Below are 19,932 nucleotides of genomic sequence, written 5' to 3' on the forward strand. Positions count from 1 at the left end.
TATATTAGATGGTTAGAGGAGAATGGAGACATGGGTTGTTTTTGTTTTGTTTATGGATGGTAATAGAGCACATTTTAGGCTGGGGAAAATTAATCTAGTGGTTTGGAAGACATTAACAGAGCAATAAATGATCTGTTTTCCAGAACATAAGAGCCAAAAGGAAAAAGAATTTCTATTTGTTTGGTTTGCTGTTGTGTCACATGCATAGTAGTTATTCAAAAATATTTGCAGAATGGATTAAACAAATCCTTAAAAATAAGAGGTCTTCTAAGCTCAAAAGTGACTAATGGGGGAGAATTTTCATAATCATATAAGAAGAGCATGATCATCCATGTAAGAGAATGGACAAAAATAATATTTGTAGTATTTATCCATTTGCTATATTCTGACTTACTTCTAATTTAATTTGACCCTATAAAATTATTTTATTTAAATATTATTTTCCCACAATCACAAAACCTAAAAAAGTTTCAGAGAATTTAACAAACTGGAGAATCCAGAAATTTTAATCAAGGTTGCTCTGATTTTATAATCTTTGTGCTAGATGATACATATAATCTATCTGGTATGCTCTCTAATATTTTTTCTTTATTCTTTTAGGTGAAAAAACTTATAAAATATATAACTTGTTATCAAAGTAAAATCAAATCATAATTGTGTCCACATCTTCTCTGGTTTTAAAGATATAACACATAATTACTCAGGTGTATATATATTAAATAATATTGAGTATCATGCTTCAGATGTTGCTTCATCTGTCACCTCCTCAAAGGAGCTTTCTCTGATTTTCACACTAGAGTAGGTAATTCTCTTACATGTTCCATAGCACAATTTTGTGAAAGAATTGTCTTAGATGAGAAACTAAGCTTCTCTGCCCTTGTGTCTTAAATCCAGTTTCCTTGAAAATTAAGCCAAGGCAAGGCTTAAGTGTAACTGATTTCTTCAGTAGGGCATTTGCAGAACATAGACAATGAGGGAGGCAGAGACCGAGGTGGGGAAGATGGAAGTCAAATGCACTTGCTAGGGCTTCATTGTAATTTGTGGAGAGTTTTAGCTAGTTGCTGCACAAGAGTGCTCTCTCTACCATGTAGCTGTCTTCCAAGAGGCTATACAAAAATACTGTGTCTCCAAATTGTCCTCTGTAGGAAACACAGAGAAAAAAAATCTGGTATTTCCCTTCCTGATCCTGTTGGTAGAGTTTCTCCAGAAGGAGTTCAACACCACCCCAACCATGCCAAAACATACCAGAGAGCATTACCTGGTCACTTTTGCAGCTTGTGGAGAAGCCAGATTTCATGTACTAAGTGTGCAGGTATTTTAAGTATTTTAACCAAAGTCCACACTCAGTTCTTTATGGCCTCGGATGATGTAATTAGGTGTACTTGCACAGTGACCTTCATTGCTTTTTCAGTGAAGAGACAGACAGACAGAGCGAGAGAGAATGCAGGAGATAAATGAGGTCCAGTGAAACCAAGGAAAGGAAGAACATATGCAGAAGGCAATTTGCATCACTTGTTTCATAGGCACCTCTACTGTGTATTTCTCTGGGCAGAGGAAATAGGAGGGAGGGGGCGGATGAACAGACATATTCTTTTTGCTGCAAAAGGAAGTATGCTACCAGCTTCCAGAAAACAAAAGCAATTAGCAGATACAAATATGGGAGGTATTATTTATAAATTTAGTGATAACTTGTTTCATGCTTGCTCATTAAAAAATAAGAAATGGATCTGAGGGGATGTAAAGATTATAAAAAAAACTTTATTCTAAAATAATTTTCCTTCACAGAAACATTATTCTAAATTATTAGAAGACTAGAAGGAGAGAACAAATCAAAATTTTCTCTTTTGATGATGATCTGAGTTCTAACCTATCTTCTTCAACGTTCTCTGGACAAAAACCTTAGAAAGCAGTGCAGCCGAGTCATAATTCATGAGTGAATATTAGTTATGTATTTGCCCTCAAGCATATTTTCCTTGAAGGTGAGAATCCTGAGACTATAAGAACATTTTGTCCTGTTAATGGAATGAAAGAATCAGGATAATAAAAAATGAATATCATATCTTTACTTTTAATTGCACTAAATAAGGCTTTCTAAAGTTTCTGCTCTTGTTCTATATAAATAAACCTTAAAACAATGCATTTTCATGCTTCTAGCCAACTTAAGAATTACCTGCACAAGATGGCTCTCCACACTTTTCTCATGTAGCAGACTCTGTGCTTTCTGATTTGAGGGAAGAGTTATGGGAAACAGAGACATGACAGCTGTCAGGTCCTTTGTCCAAATTTAATCAGGAATCAGCCAGAGAGGAATGTCCTAATCCATCAACACCTGCTTGGGATAAGCAGTAAACCCACCAGAGACAGAGCCAAATATAGTGATTTAATTAATTGAAAGGTGTTGGCAATTCATCAACATGCGGTGCTTCTGAGCAATTTCCAGTACCAACTAATGTAGAGCAGAATTTTGCATAAGTATCTTAAAGATTTTTAATTTGTTATAATTTTTTAAATATCAGTTAATTTGAAAATATTTCAGAATACCAAGAAAAGATACAAAAGAACATCATCTTGACTTTTTGTTTTAAATTGATATTTGCTATTTTTTAATAAACTTTTAGATGGTAAAATTTTATAAACATTCACAATCTGATGCAGAGTTATACTTCTATATGAGTGACATTTTTACACAGCTAACATGGTGCTGATTAAACTGATGTGTGAGTGTTCTAAGACAAGGCTATATTTATCACTCTTGTTCTGAAATGCGTATGTAATAGCCTAAAGACAATTATTTCACAATTAAATTACAAATCAAAGTCATCATTTAGTCTTCCTTATTTTTTTCTTGTATACTAATTTGGCCTGAGTCATGTTAGATCAATCCACAATATTTCTCTCATCTCTTCCCTTGTTTCTGTACCCAGCAGCTATTCAAATCATTATTTAATGATTTCTTTCTCACACAAACCAACTTATTAATCTCCCTCCTTTTCCCTGACCCTTGATTATTCTACACTCAGTCTAGCCAGTCTAGATTTTGTTAATTGGTTACTTTTTTCCAAATATGTCTCCCCTAGTTTCAATAGATTAAAAATATGTACCTTAATTCCACATCTTTTTTTTTTTTTTTGAGACGGAGTTTTGCTCTTGTTGCCCAGGCTAGAGTGCAATGACCCGATTTCGGCTCACCACAACCTCCACCTCCCAGATTCAAGCAATTCTCCTGCCTCAGCCTCCCGAGTAGCTGGGATTACAGACATGCGCCACCACCCCCAGATAATTTTGCATTTTTAGTAGAGACTGGGTTTCTCCATGTTGTTCAGGCTGGTCTCGAACTCCCGACCTCAGGTGATTTGCCTGCCTTGGCCTCCCAAAGTGCTGGGATTACAGGTGTGAGCCACTGCACCCGGCCTCCAATTCCATATCTTTTTAAAGACTATTCATATTTAAACATTAATTTAAAATACTTTCTTCTCCAAAAATGCTTTCTTAATCCAACCAAACAGAATTGGTTGTCTTTGTTTTTTTTTTTTTTTTTTTTAAGTCCACATGGCAATATGATCTTCCCTTGTGGTTTGTAGTTACAATTTTTGTTTGTTTCATATATTTGCGTTTTCTATTGAAGGGGTGTGTGGGGATTTTAAATATATGTGCTTAATTGCATGACTTTCCATTACAAAGTCCTTTAAGACAAAGATCGTTTTGCTCTTTTAGCCTTTTGTTCTTATTTTTTTTTCTTTTTTGCTACTCAACTTTAATTTTCTACAACCTAGCACTATCCATTGAACTATTTTATTAAATTATAAAACTCTTTGGGGCATATGCTTGCAAATTCAATTTAGTTAAATTAACACAGTCTTTAAAATCTCTAAATATTGATCTCCAGGTTTGAAAACTTTCTCTAAATAATATTTATGCCAGAATTTTGGGCAGCCAATTCATAGTCATGATATCTTCAAATATCCTAACCTTATCAGCAAAATCTTTTGTTCTTCCAAATTTAGCTACTTATTTAAAACTACATAATGTCTTTTTTTTTCCTTTTTCTTTGTAAGTTTACATAATGTCTTTTTTTCCTTTTTCTACATAGATTTTTACCTATTTATAAAGCTCTGATTTTGGCCAGGTGCGGTGGCTTACGCTTGTTATCCCAGCACTTTGGGAGGCTGAGGCGGGTGGATCATGAGGTCAGGAGTTCGAGGTCAGCCTGACCAGCATGGTGAAACCCTGTCTCTACTAAAAATACAAAAATTAGCTGGGCTTGGTGGCACATGCCTGTAACCACAGCTACTCAGGAGGCTAAGGCAGGACAATCTCATGAACCTGGGAATTGGAGGTTGCAGTGAGCCGAGATCAAACCACTGCACTCCAGCCTGGGTGACACAGTGAGACTCCCTCTAAAAATAAAAATAAAAATAATAAAAAAAGCTCTGATTTACCCCCAACCCAGTCAGAAGTCCTCACACACATCAATAAAAAGAAATGAGTAGAGTGAACATTTTATGTATATCCAGTGCATTTTTACACTTCTCTCTCGGAGTCCACATGACTCCTTTATTTCTTTGAAGAATAGACTTTTATCCTTGCCAAATTCAGTTATTGTTTACCTCATTTTCTTATCTCTGCCTTCCCTACCATCTCTTCCAGTGGCTTGCTTTCTTGAATATTCTCTGCTTTTCCTTCCCTATTGTCAGACTTTCCACACTCATTAACTCATTCCTGTAAATGTAAAAATACACTCATTTTTTTCTAATAAATTATTATTTTTAGAAAAAATTTAAGATTTACAGAAAAACTGAGAAGATAGTAAAGAGGGTCCCATACACCTGGCACCCAGTGTCTTTTGTTTTTAACATAGCTTGTTAGTATGGCAGGTTTGTTACTGTTAATAAACCAATGTTGGTAAATTAGTATTAATAAAAGTTTATATTTTATTCAAATTTTCTTAATTTGTATGTAAAACACTTTTTCAGTTCCAAGATCCTACTCAGGATATCATGTTACATTTCAGCATGAGGTCTCCTTAGGCGTCACTTGTCTGTGACATTTTCTCAGACTTTTATTATTTTGATGATTCTGACCGAGAAACAAGGGTAAATTAGTTTATCAACTGCAGCTAGATTATAATTTGTCTTTTTTTCTCATTATTAAACCAGAGTTATAGATTATAGGGAGAAAGACAACAAAAATAAAGTGCCATATCCATTATAGAATATCAAGGGTATACACTGTCAACATGAATTACAACTGTTGATGTTGACCTGATACCTAGCTGAAGTAATGGTTGCCAGCTTTCTCCTCTGAAAAGTTACTTGCCCTCTTTCTCTACCTTTTTTGTGAGTCCAAAATCTATGTGAATATTTGTAATTATTCTGTACATATTTTTCTCCTCCCCCAAAAGCTCCCCCATTTATTTATTCAGTCATTTATTTATATCAGGATGGACCAATAGATATTTATTTTATACTTTGAGTTCTAATCTGATACTACTTTATTTATTTTGATGTTCAAATTTTCCATCGTTGCTTATCGAGAGGCCTTTCAGGTCCTGTCTCCCTTTGCTGTCCATAACCCATCAATGTGCCATTGTCATTACCTCCTTCTTCCTTTTTGTTCTTTACCTCCTCCCCCTCCTCTTTCTACTTCCTCTTTCCCTCAGCATTTTCTTACTTTGGCCACAAGATCTTCCATGCTCATCTTGTGTATTTCCTACCCTAATTCTAGAATCAGTCATTTCTCTAAGAAGCTTTGCTTCTGTTTATTGGAGAATGGTATGATAAACCAAGATATGGGCACTGGGTGTGCTAGTTACTAGTGAGGTGTCATTGATTCTGAAATATCTCAGCTGACAGAGAAGGAACACATATGTGTCTAGGCTAACCACATATCTATAAATATGTCTGTGGGCAGCTATGTACATCTCTGTTAAGCTAAGTAGGAGTTCATATGGATGTCTTTAACCCTACCTCATGACCACAAGGGCAATTCTAGACTCCTTCTCTTGCTTATCTGTAAATTCCCACTGCAACTGGCTGGTTCCAGACATTCATGATATATTCACTAAGTTGTTGAATTCCAGTATACACGTATTGTAGTATCAGAATTTGTAATCCAGATCCTTGCAGGAAATACCTTTTATTAACTAGAGTACAGTGATTATGAACAGTTTTATTTTTTACCTTTACTTTTATAGATCCATCACATTTTTACTCATTTTGGTGAGCCTTTTTTCCTCCCTAAGCCTCTTTAGTGAAGTTGCTTCATACATTCCTAATTAGGTTAAATTGTTTTGTCATATTGTGCATTTCATCCTGGAATTCCACTCTCCTACAAAATGACCCCATACAATTTACATATTTGAAGGTTCACTCTTCTATGCCTTTGGAGAAATGTACAGTGTCATGCATCCACAATTAAAGTATCATGCAGAATAGTTTTATATCTCCCCCCAAATCCCTATTCTTTATATATGAAACCCTCCCTTTTCTTCACAAAACACTGCAAAACACTAATCTTTTGCTGTCTGCATGGTCTGCTATTTTCTTTCTTTCTTTTTTTTTTTTTTTTTTTTTTGAGAAGGAGTCTCGCTCTGTTGCCCAGGCTGGAGTGCAGTGGCCTGGTCTCGACTCACTGCAGCCTCCGCCTCAAATGATTCTCCTGCCTTAGCCTCCAGAATAGTTGGGATTACAGGCACCCGCTGGGCTAATTTTTGTATTTTTAGTAGAGACGGGGTTTCACCATGTTGGCCAGGATGATCTTGATCTCCTGACCTGTGATCCCCCCGCCACGGCCTCCCAATGTGCTGGGATCACAGGCTGGAGCCACTGCACCCGGCCTGTTTGCCATTTTCATAAAGTCTTTTTTTTTTTTTTTTTTGAGATGGAGTCTCATTCTGTCGCCCAGGCTGGAGTGCAGTGGCGCAATCTCGGCTCACTGCAGGCTCCGGCCCCCGGGTTCACACCATTCTGCTGCCTCAGCTTCCCGAGTAGCTGGGACTACAGGCACACGCCACCACGCCTGGCTAATTTTTTTGTATTTTCAGTAGAGACGGGGTTTCACCATGTTAGCCAGGATGGTCTCGATCTCCTGACCTCGTGATCCGCCCGCTTTGGCCTCCCAAAGCGCTGGGATTACAGGCGTGAGCCACCGCTCCTGGCCTAATGTCTTTTATTAGAACCATACGTCATAGAGCATTTCAGACTACCTTCTTCACTAAGCAATGTTTAAGATTCATCTGTGTCTTTCTGTGGCTTTATAGCTCTTTACTTTTTATGGTTGAATTACATTCCCTGATATGGATGTACCACAGTTTGTTTATGCATACACATATTGAAGGACATCTTGGCTGTTTCTCATTTGGGACAGTTATTAATAAACTTTTCCTAAACATCACTGCTCAGGTTTCTCTGTGAACCTAAGTTTTCGAAACAGTTTGATAAATACCTACAAGTGCAATTACTTGTTGTAACTAAGATTATATTTTGCTTTGTAAGACATTGACCAACTGTCTTCCAAGTGGTTGTATGATTTTTGTATTCTCGCCGGCAAGAAATGAGAATTTATATTGTTCTTCAGTAATTGGCATTGGCAGTTTTTTGAAACTTATTTATTCTAATAGGTTGTAATGGTATCTAATTGTGGTTTAACTTTGAATTGCCTAATGACAGATGACATTAAACATCTTTTTATATTTTTATTTGCCATTTGTATAAGTTATTTGGCAATGTCTCGAGATATTTTGTCTACTTTATTGAGTTATTTGTTTCCTAATTATTAAGTATAGGAGTTTTCTGTCTGTTTTGGATACAAACTGTTTATCAGTTATTTGATTTGTAAAGAGTTTCTCTCAGCCCGAGGCTTGTGTTTCCAACTCTAAACATTCCTTTTGCAAAGTAGAAGTTTTTACTTTTATTAAAATCAACTTACCAGTTTTTCTTTTCTGGATATTTTTGCTATTGTGTCTAAAAATTCATCATTAAATCCAAGCTCACTTAGATTGAGGGAGGAGACCACCCCTCATATTGTCATATGCCCAACTTCTGCCTCCAAAGAAAGAAGGAGTAAAAACTAAAAGGCAGAAATGGAATCCACAGGCAGATAGCCCAGCACCACACCCAGGGCCTGGTAGTTAAAAATCAACCCCTGACCTAACTGCTTGTGTTATCTACAGATTTTAGACACTGTGGAAAAGCACCGTGAAAATCCCTGTCCTGTTCTGTTCCGATCTAATTACAGGTCCATGCAGCCCCCAGTCATGTACCCCCTGCTTGCTCAATTGATCACGACCCTTTCAAGTGGACCCCCTTAGAGTTGTAAGCCTTAAAAGGGACAGGAATTGCTCACTCGGGGAGCATGGTTTTTGGAGACGTGAGTCTGCCGATACTCCCAGCTGAATAAAGCCCTTTCCTTCTACAACTCGGTGTCTCAGGGGTTCTTGTCTGCAGCTCATCCTGCTACATTTTGCTCCTATGTTTTCTTCTAGAAGCTTTAAGGTGTCATGTGTTACCTTCAGATCTAAGATCCATTTTAAGTTAATTTTTATCATATGATTGCCTGTGTATAGGAAAATAATTTACATTAGTATATCAACCTTGTATCCTGCTACCTTGATTTACTTATTCCAAATGTTTTATTTTCCATTTTTACTTATTATATTGACTATCACATTGTCTTTGAACAAAGACAGCTTTATTGCTTCCTTTACAATCTGTCTACTATTTATTTCCTTTTCTTATTATATTGTACAAGTTCAGTTGTCTAGCACAACATTGAATAGAAAGGGTGAAATAAAACACCCTTGCCTTTTTCCCAGTCCTAGATGAAAAGCATTTCTACTATTCAGTATAATATTAGCTATAGGTTCTTTCTAAAGTTGAGGAAGCTACCCTGTATTGCTAATTTATGAGGGCTTTTATCATGAATGGGTACTAGGTTATGCAAAAGGCTTTTTCTGCATCTATTGATATTATAATATTTTTATTCTTCTTAGGCTCTTGATATGGTGAATTATATTAACGGATTTTTCAATAAGGAATCAGCCTTACATACCTGGGACAAATCCCACTTGATTGTGGTGCATAATTATTTCTATACATTTTTAAAATTCAATTTGCTAACATTTTGTTGAGCAACTGTGGATCTGTATTCCTGAGAATTATCAGTCTGAAATTTTCTTCACTTACAATGTCTTTATCTGATTTTGGCAGTTGATTCATTGTGACCTCTAAAATGACTTAGAAAATATGACTTATTCTTCTATAATCTAGAATAAATTGTTAGAAAATGTTGTAATTTTTTTCTTAAATTGTTCATAGAATTCACCAGTGAAGCCATTCGAACCTGGTGCTTTTATTATTTTTTGAAATGTTATTAGTTGTAGATTAAATATCTTGACTGAACATATTTATTCAGATTATCTGTTTCTCCTTGTGGGAGTTTTGGGAGTTTGTGCTTTTCAAATAATTGGTATATTTAATATATAAAATTTGTGAGCATAGAATTATTCATAGTGCTCATTTATTATACTTTTAATGTCATTTGTGAGGTGTACATTGAAGGAGTCTGTTTCCTTTACAATATTGGTAATTTGTAGCTGCTCTCTCTCTCTTTTATCCTTTGTCAGACTGGTTAAAGTTTTATCAATTTTGTCTACCTTTTCATAGAACTTGCCTTTAGTTGTGTTAATTTTTTTGTCATTGTTTTTAATTTATTGTTCTCTGCTCTAATTTATATCATTTCTTTCTTTCTGTTTGCTATAAGCTTAAATTGTTATGTTTTCACTAGCGTTTTGAAAGTGAAATAAATTGCTAGATTATTGAGTTAAGAAATTTTTTTCTAATATAGGCATTTAATGAAATGGATTTCTCTCTAGGCACTGTTTTCTCTGCATCCCACAAAGTTCAATAAGTTAGATTTGTATTCTTACTTAGTTCCAACTTTAAAATATCTCTTGTGAGACTTTTTCCTGGACTTCTGCATTACTTAGAAGTATGATGCTTAGTCTCCAATTATTTGTGGATTTTCCTGCTATATTTATATTATTGATTCCTAGTTTGATTCATTATGGTCTGTGTACATTGTTTGTATAATTTTATAGTTTAAATTTGTTAAGGTGTGCTTAATGGCCCAGAATGTGATCCGTCTTGGTGAATGTTTTATGTTAGCTTGAGAAGAATATGTATTCTGTTGTTGTTCAATGAAGTATTCTATAAATGCCAATACAATTACGTTAATTGATAATCAATACTCATTTTCTGCCCACTTGTTCTATTAATTACTGAAAAAGAGATGTTGAAATCTCTATACAGGTCAATTAGTCCATTTTTTTCTTGCACTTTTTTTTTCAAATTATGTCCATCACTTCTATCCATTGATGCCCTGTTGTTAGATGCATATATTGTAGATTGCTAGGTCTTCATGGAAAATTGATCACATATGATTATGTCACTATTTCTTTATTCCTGATGACTGTTCTTGAACTGAGGTCCACTTTGTCTGAAATTAATGGAGCAACTACTCCTTTTTAAATTAGTCATCATATTATGATATCTTTTATCCCTTTTCTCCTTTCCTAAAAAAATCCTTATAGTTAAAGTGGGTTTTACAGACAACATATAATTAAGTCTAAATTTCATCCACTCTGGGAATCTTTCTAATTAGTTTCTTTAACTTATTTATACTTAATGTACTTAAATAAATATGAGATACATAGCCAGGTATGTATACAGAAATAGAGATAGATATGAATAGATAGATAGATAGATCAACCATATTTGTAAGGTTACATATAATTCTATTTTTATTCTCTCTTAGCATATTAAGTATATTGCTTTATAAAGATAATTTCAGGAATTTCAGTATTTTAAACTATTCTGTATTCCTTTAAATAACACTCTACTGCTTTACTTATAGTACATATAACACAGTGTTACATCTATGTAACAGAGTATGTCCATTTTCTATTTCCCATCCTTTGTGACATTGCTGTCATCCACTTACTGTGCTATAATCATCCAAAATATTATTGTTATTATTATTAGTTTAAATATTTATCTTTTAGTCAGTTAACAATAATTTTAAATATTTTTAAAATTTATTCCTCCTCTGATGTTCTTTCTTTACGTAGATACTAGACTTTTACTAATATCAAAACTTTTCCGGCTGAGGAAAATTCTTTAATAGTTCTTGCAGCACAGGTCTGCTGCTGATGAATTCCCCCAATTTCAGTTTTCTGAGAAAGTTTTTATTTCGACCTCATTTTTGAATAATAATTTTAGTAGTTAGATAATTCTAGGTTAACTTTTAAAAAATGTTTAACATATTAAATATTGTAGTTTTCTTTTTTCTAGCTTGCAAATTTTCTGTCATGAAGCCGGAGATTTCAAATTCCTCTAGTGTCTTTTTGTTTCCACTCTTAACTTCTCTAAGTTTTCCTTTCAAGAGTTTGCGTCTTGAGGCCCTTTCATCTATAATCCACTATTATTATACTAGAGCCTTGTTAGTGTCGTGCTAATGTATGATGAATGGTGAAAGAACATGCCTGTTAAATCTGTCTTTCAATGGGTTTATGCTTCTTGTCTATAACCTTCACAAGTGCTTCTTCTTGTAACTTTCTCTTCATTCCCACCTCAGATGAGGCAAAAAGGATATATATCTCCTACATACAGATAGCAGCATGTTAAATTTTAGTATAGTACATTGGAACTTATGATTCTAACTTTTGAAAGTAGAGTGTTACTATCTACAGTTGCAGTCAAATGGTAGTTGGGGTAGAAGTCACCTTAAAGATTTCTTTAATGTTACGCCTGACTAGGAATTATGGTAATAAGCTGGGTCCTCAGTAGAGACCATTGGTTAAATTATATAAATGTGACCTCTACCTATAACCAGGAATTTCTTGTAGTGTGATGACCTGGTTTGAAGGTCAAGGATATCACATTTTCTTACCTGGTCTTAGAAGTTATGGAGCATCCCTTCAACCACATTATGTTTCTAATAATTGGGTGACTAACTCAATCCTATATTTAGTAGGAAGGAAATTAGATTCTAACTCTTAAAAGAAGTATCAAATAATTTGTGTATTTATTTTAAACACTCCATACATACTTTACACTCCATTTTGTGTATATATTAGCTTAGAACATCTAAATTAATCCAATAATGTCTTCTAGAATCTTCTATTTCCTATCTATTGCACAATGCTATCAATGTTCCCCAAATTCTTTTATGTTCCCTCATGCTCTGTTGTAATATAAAACGGATCACTGATTATTCATACACTTAATATGAATAGTTCACATTTGTTTATAGATTTCTTCTCCGTTTGTTAATGACCTTTTTTGTTTGTGCTTATATCTAAGGGCAAATACAGATTTCCAGTACTTCTATATTCCCAAAGAATTGCTGATTTAATGTAATTTTATTTTAATACTTCACTTCATTCTCTCTTGGCTGCTTAGCTTTCTTTTCTACTTCAAATTTCAGTTCTGTATTCACCAGGATATTCCTCAAAAGAAAACTGTAAATCAGGGTCACACTACTTGTCACTTAATAGGACACACACACATACATACACACATGCTCACCTGACTGTTTTGTTTTATATGGTCTTCTTCCTTGACATTGTAATACATATAGACATTATCGTTTTGTAATTATTTTAATACTTATCTATAGTATTTCATATCTGCCACAGTGTCGAATATATATAATGAGATATTCTCAAGAAAAATTCCCTGTCATATATGAATAACAAAAACAAAATGGCACAAATAGTCTGTAGGATGGTAATACATGTTTTTATTTTATAAAATTTTAATGACTTTAATGAGAAATAATTTTCATAATATATAATTTACCTAATTAAAATGTTCAGTGGTTGTTAGTATATTCTCAGAATTGAGCAACCATCACCCACAATAAATTTTAGAACACTTTAACAACCTCCAAAGGAAACTCCTTACCCATTAGTGGTTATTCAAAAATTACCCAAACTTCCTAGTCTTGAGCAAACATGAATCTTCCTGTTTCTATAGATTTGCCTCTTCTGCATTTTTTTATTTTGAGGGGGAGTCTCGCTGTGTAGCTTAGCCTGGAGTGTAGTGGCACAATCTTGGCTCACTGCAACCTCCGCCTCTCAGGTTCAAGCGATTCTCCCACCTCAGCCTCCCGAGTAGCTGAGATTACAGGTGTGCGCTACCAGGCCTGGCCAATTTTTGTATTTTTAGTAGAAACGGGGTTTCACCATGTTGGCCAGGCTGGTCTCAAACTCCTGACCTCAGGTGATCCACCTACCTCGGCCTCCCAAAGTGCTGTGTTTATAGGGCGTGAGCCACCACGCCCAGCCTGAATATTTTATATAAGTAAAATTATACAATATGTGGTCTTTGGAGGTCTGACTTCCTTCATTTAGCATACTGTTTTCAAAATTCATCTCTGTTGTAGCATGTGTCTGTGTTTCATTTTCATGTCTCGATAATATTAAATTCCTAGTAACTTTTATAAACAATTTAAAGTCTATTTTTGACTGAAATTATTATAGTAACTCAGTCTTCCTTATGGTTGCATGATAAAGCTTGCTCCATCCTTTTACCTTTAACCTAATTGTATTTTTTTTATTTAAAGTGTTTCCATTAGAAAGCAGAGTTGGATCTTGTTTTTATTGCCAAGTGTATTAATCTCTGTCTTTTATAATTATCAAATGACCTTAGCCATTTTCTTTACTTTCTGTATGTATTTGAATTACTGTTTTGAGTCACTTGATTTCAACCTGAAGAATATCCTTTACTATTTCTTCTAAAGCCAATCTAATAGCAGCAAAAGCTCTGTGTTTTTCTGTTTTGTTTTGTTTTGTTTTGTTTGAGACAGAGTCTCACTCTGTCACCCAGGCTGGAGTGCAATGGTGTGCTCACTGCAACCTCTGCCTCCCGGGTTCAAGTGATTCTCCTGCCTCAGCTTCCTGAGTAGCTGGGATTACAGGTGCTGCCACCACACCTCGCTAATTTTTGTATTTTTAATAGAGATGGGGGTTTCACCATATTGGCCAGGCTGGTCTCGAACTGCTGACCTTGTGATACGCCCAGCTCGGCCTCCCAAAGTGCTGGGATTATAGGTGTGAGCCACCGCGCCTGCCAAAATCTCTGTCTGTTAAAATTTTTCTAGTGATGTCCTTTTTGTCTTTATTTTTGAAAGATAGTTTTCTGCAGATAAGATACTTGATAGCCTTAACTTTCTTTGCTATAAATGTATTCCCAGTGATTTCTAGACTCCATTGTTTTTCCTGCTAAGAAGTTAGGTGTTATTTTATTAGGGTTTCCTTATACCTGAAGAGTGATTTTTCTCTGTTGTTTTCGGGACATTGTCTTTAGCTTCCTATATTTTTACTATGCTGTGTCTGGGCGAGACAACCCTTCGGCTTTTCCTACTTAGCATTTTTTAAATCTTCTTTGGTATATAAATTAATGTTTGCATCATAATTTTGTAAGTTTTGCCCTATAATTCTTCAAATTTTTTTTCTGCTTCTTATCTCCCTCTTGTCCTTTGTGCTTCTATGATGTGTATGTTGGTGTATTTCTCTGGAACTCCCTTCACTTATCTTCATTCTTTTCTCCTGTCTTCTTTAGATTGCATAACCTACATTGATCGACTTATGCCTTTTGCTTAATCTTTTATTTTATTTTATTTTATTTTATTTTATTTTATTTTATTTTATTTTATTTTTTGAGACAGAGTCTCGCTCTGTTCCCAGGCTGGAGTGCATTTGCACTATCTCGGCTCACTGCAACCTCTACCTCCTGGGTTCAAACGATTCTCCTGCCTCAGCCTCCCAAGTAGCTGGGACTACAGGCACACACCACCATGCCCAGCTAATTTTTGTATTTTCAATAGAGACAGGGTTTCACCATGTTGGCCAGGATGGTCTCGATCTCTTGACCTCGTGGTCTGCCAGCCGTGGCCTCCCAAAGTACTGGGATTACAGGCATGAGCCCCTGCCCCCAGCCAATCTTTTATTTTTTTATTGTATGGTCAAATCTGCCAGTGGAGCCCCTCTAGCTAATTGTTAGCTACTATGCTTTTTAATTCCAGAATTTTTATTCATTCCTTTTTGTAATTTCAATTTTTCTAATTGATATAATGTATTTGATAAGGTATTGTCATCATATCTTTCTTTTTCTTTTAAGCATGGTGTCATTTAGTTCTTTGAAAATTTACAATAGCTATTTTGCTTTTGTCTGCTGAGTTGAGATTGGGGCCCCATGAAGGACAGATTTTACTTTATTTCATAGGTATACATTGCTCTTTCTTGTTTATTTGCATTTCTCATAATTTGTCATTAGAGATTTAATATTTTAGATAACATATTACAGTAATTGCAGATTCTATTACCACTTCCCATCTTGCTCCTCATCTAGGGCTTGTTGTGGTTGCTATTGCCTACTTCATTTGTTTAGTGACTTGGGTGGAAAATTTTAGTTAAGCATATTTCCCAAGCAGGGTGCCCACTCTGATGCCATCTTCAGAGGTCATAGCCTTGGACTTGCACACAGTCACTTTGGGATAATGTTGGGGTTCACAGGTCTGCTTTTGAAAGTACACTGTGATATTTCTGTAAATCTACCTACCTCTGTTAGTATCACATGCAGCTATAGTTTTCATTACTTCCCAACTGGCTTCTCTCTTGTTTTTCACAATGTCCTCAGATAGAAATTGTTCCACAGTCTGATCAAAGTTTTGGTGCGTCTTCGTGGGTCTTCCGTTATGCTACTCTTTGAGGTTTGTTCTGACTCAGTGAGGAACTGTTATTAGCAATCTCTTTCCCCAGTTCTCAGTTCTCTCTGGTAAACCTTTAATTTATATCAAGTTTAGCTTGTTACCTTATGGAGTTATCAGTCTATTCTCAATTTTTTTTTTACCACCATTGTGTTCTAGAGTGTAATTGGGCTTATTTTTCCCCAACTCTGTCCCAAATAACATCAGTTCTTTGGGGTTCTCCCTGCGCAAACACTCTTTGCCACTTTTCCAGATCTAGACATAGATACAGCGACCCGCTTCTCTTGGCATGACACTTCTTATAAGTGGGATCCTAGCAAAGGCCCTAGCTTATGGTCTTTAGGGCTTGCCTCTCCAAGCCTGTAACCTCAATCCTACTATGAGCTACAGGAGATCTATTTGTGTCTTCATATACTCAGCCTGCCATGTCTAAGATGAAACTTCCACCCTACAGATGGGGCTAGGTGGAAGAAGAGAGTCCAAGCCTTTTCAGCTGTTCTTGCCTTAATGAGAACTTCTGCCAAATGAAGTGATGGTAAATAAAAAAAGGCTGATGGTTTGTTTCTTGGGGGAGATCTTTACCTCATGACTCATTGCTGGGAGAACAGGAAGTCCTGTGTCCTTGGATACACCTGCAAAAGTGGAAAATTCTGCATGCTGAGCTTGTGAGCAGGAAGAGTGGGTCATGGCTCAAATGCCATAGATTCACTATTCTTAGCAAGATTTGATCGACTTGCTTGAATAAATGCTCTTTTTATAGTTTCTGTATTCCATTAGGGTAATTTCTAGAGATTTATAAACGGCAAGCTTATAAATTTACCATTTTCACTAGTTATGCTGTTTCACTAGAGAATGTGTCTGCATTGATATATATGCCACCATTCTAGAAGTTATAAAGCTCTCATAGAAATGTGTTGAAATAGTTTACTTGTAAGGGCATCTGTTGATTTCCAAACACAATGTAAGACTAGATTTTCCACTTTTCTTTTATTTCTGCATCCATACATGGACAGCTGGTACTCTCAATTCTGCACCAGATGGAATGAAGTCTACTGTATGACTCTCTGGATAATGGTACCTATATTCCTGTGTTGACTCTTTCAACTTTCCTCTTTAGTACTTTGTGAAAACTGTAATTTTAAAGAACCTTTTATTCCCCTAGGATAAAGGATGTAAATGGCCCCCAATGAATATAAAGGATAAGTATATGATGATAGTTTAGTTTCTGAAAAATGAAGAAAAGAATACTATTTCAGTGAGTGAGTCCTTTTATCAAAATATCAAATAATTGACTTTCTGGCACTATCTTCATTCTTTCTAGTATCCTCAAGGTAAATCTACAAAAAATTATGTCTATTTAGTTTACTGAATCCTATGTATAAAATATAATGACTAACTCTTTGTATCTCCAGCAGAGTTGAGTCATAGGGTGAAATTTTGTGCTGTATAAACCTAGAAGACATAAATCTAGTCATTTTACTGCACAGATTGGTAAACTGAGGTTCACAAAGACTAACTATTTTGCCCATGGTGACATAAATGGTTACTAACTGAAAATATGAGCTTGTGAATCTGGGTTATGTTTTCTTCCCGCTACATCACTCTGCTTTACCAAAAATGTAGAACCACTTCTCTTTCCAAAAAACAAAATAATTCTGTTATTGTTGTCTTTCAGAAAATATACAGATGACACTTGGTGTAATTTATGGGCTCCAGGTAGTTATCCATCAGTGAGCAAAAAGAACCATATAGCTTCATGTGATTACACACAGAGTGATCAATAGCTACTGGTTACTTTTTTTTTTTCACTTTTATTGCCTTGAGTATTACTGAAGAAGTCAAAATGTTATAGTTTATTAGAAGCAGAGAAGGGACACTTAATTCTGTATCTCTTGGTAGTTTCTGATATTATACTATATTACTATGATAGGTGAGTTTGGGGGAAGTTTTAGAAGGAGCAAAATTAAGTGCCCATATGACACTAATATTCTTTTTAGGGAATCCAGAGGTAAGAACTTGCCTATAGCTATATTTTTCTCATAGGTTTATCTGAAAAGGTAGGGACGCATAGCAGAGACTGTCCTAAAACAAGTAAGTTATATAATTTATTAAATTATTTATTGAAATCTATAATTCAGTAAATTTCCACCCTCTGTTTCCTTCTTTCTTCATTCTTAAAGAGTAAATCCTAATTTTTTATCAAAATTAATCTCTTAAAAATAATCAATTCCACATCACTGTTGCAAACTTAAGTCGTTCTCATATATGTATTTAGACTTTTATCCTTCTAGTAGCTCAACTTTCAACATTTCTTCTACTTTTTTTTCAGATCAGTTATGTATTCCTAGCCTACAATTAACCTTACAAATAATTTCCATTACTCTATAATGTATTTATTGAATAATATCCTTTTTGTAATAAGATGAGTACAGTGCATGCAAATATTCCTGGAAGTCAGTACTGAATGTGAACCACATAAACATATAGCATGAAAGCCAAACTCAAAGTGTCCTTCAGCCAAAGTCCCCTTATATGCATACATAAATTCTTGTGGCTATTCTAGCACCATCTGATATAAGAGAAATGTGATTGTGAGAAAAAGGTGGACAGAAAGAAATAGTAATGTTAGCTAATTGCAGATAAATAGGTTATTTTGCAAAATTTATAAAAAATACATGCTCACGTGAGTACATTATTAATGCCCCCTCATGGGCCCATGTAAGAGAGTGGTCTTGAAGGTTAATCTGTATTAGTTTTCTGATAAAGATTCTTCTGCTTTTATTCACTCCCAACACTTTGGGAGAAGCATCTCTACTCATGTAACTCTTGAGAAACATCTCTACTCATTTGAACTCTTCCTGTGAAGGATGAGATTACATTTACTATGGGACTTTAGCTTCTTAAATTATCTCTAATGTTACCGCATTATTCTCTTTATTCATAGGAATTAATCCTATTTATAAAATACAAATATAGTATTGTATCACATTCTTCATTTATTTAGAATGCATCACATTCTTCATTTATTGTATCACGTTCTTCATTTATTTACTTCCAATGCCTTCTATTGTTATTTAAATAAATCTGAAGTCCTTATCATCGTTTACAAAGCCCTGTCTTATCACTACAACCAAGTCTCCTGTCCCTCACATTTGTTATTAAATATCCCAATCACACTACACTTATTTATGGTTCTTGAGAAACCTAGATGTGTTATAATCTCCTGGGTTTTTATCTATTTTTAATCTAACGTTCTTGGAAAGATTCCCCAGTTCTTCACAAAGCAATCTTCTACGTGCAGTGGATACCTATTTCTAAATGTTCTCCTAGAGAGTTTCCGATGAGCATCCCAACATCATTAATCTCTCTGCAGTTATTTTAAACAGTATTTGCCACAATTTGAAATTAACTACATTATATGTATAATAGATCTTTATAATTTTTTTTTTCTGTGAGAGCAAGGCATTCTCTCTTATTAATCACTATTTCCTCAGTGCCTACACCAGTGGCTAAAATTCTAGTGATGTTGGATGAATAAATGAGTTAATAGCTACGGATATTTAGAAGATGGAGAGAAGTTATCACCTGAAGAAAATGTGCAGGGTAAGTTGAGAGACATTGCAAAGAGAAGGAAACAAAAGACTACAAATTCTAAGTAGTTTACATTGTGAAACAGGCATGTCAAATTTACCTTTTTTCCACAGTTCACGCATACTTTGGAGATACTGTAGGTTTGGTTTCAGACTGTCACAATAAGTAAGTCATACAACTTTTTAGATTTTCGAGTGCATATAAAACTATGTTTATACTATATTGTTGTCTATGAAGCATGTGGTAGAATTATATCTTTAAAAAGTATGTATCTTAATTTAAAAACAATTAATTGCTTAAAAAATACTATTATCTTAGCCTTTAGCACCTTGCCATATTTTTGCTGTTGCAGGGTCTTACCTCGATGTTGATTCCTGGCAAATGATCAGTGTGTTTGTTGCTGAAGGCCGTGGTGGCTTTGGCAATTTTTTACCATCAGACAGTGAAGTTGCTGCACCACTGACAATTCCTTTTACAAGAGGTTGCCCTGTAGTACTTAGTGCTGGTTGATAGTATTTTACCCACAGTAGAACTTCTTTTAAAGTTGGAATCAATCCTCTCAAACCCTGCTAT

The 19,932-nt window shown here is 35.0% G+C and overlaps 1 long non-coding RNA gene across 2 annotated transcripts in view; it reads right to left on the reverse strand.

Moving 5' to 3' along the window:
- Positions 1-2,242: 2,242 nt before the first annotated feature.
- Positions 2,243-19,932, reverse strand: part of LOC105374699 (uncharacterized) — a 56,997-nt gene continuing 39,307 nt past the window's right edge. For both annotated transcript variants that reach the window (XR_925880.3, XR_925879.3), the window contains 2 exons: positions 4,608-4,719; positions 2,243-2,329 (listed from right to left, as the gene is read on the reverse strand). This is a non-coding gene — a long non-coding RNA (uncharacterized LOC105374699). The remainder of the gene's footprint in view (positions 2,330-4,607; positions 4,720-19,932) is intronic.

Source organism: Homo sapiens, chromosome 5 (genome assembly GCF_000001405.40).
Source record: "Homo sapiens chromosome 5, GRCh38.p14 Primary Assembly".
In the NCBI taxonomy this organism is placed as follows: Eukaryota; Metazoa; Chordata; class Mammalia; order Primates; family Hominidae; genus Homo; species Homo sapiens.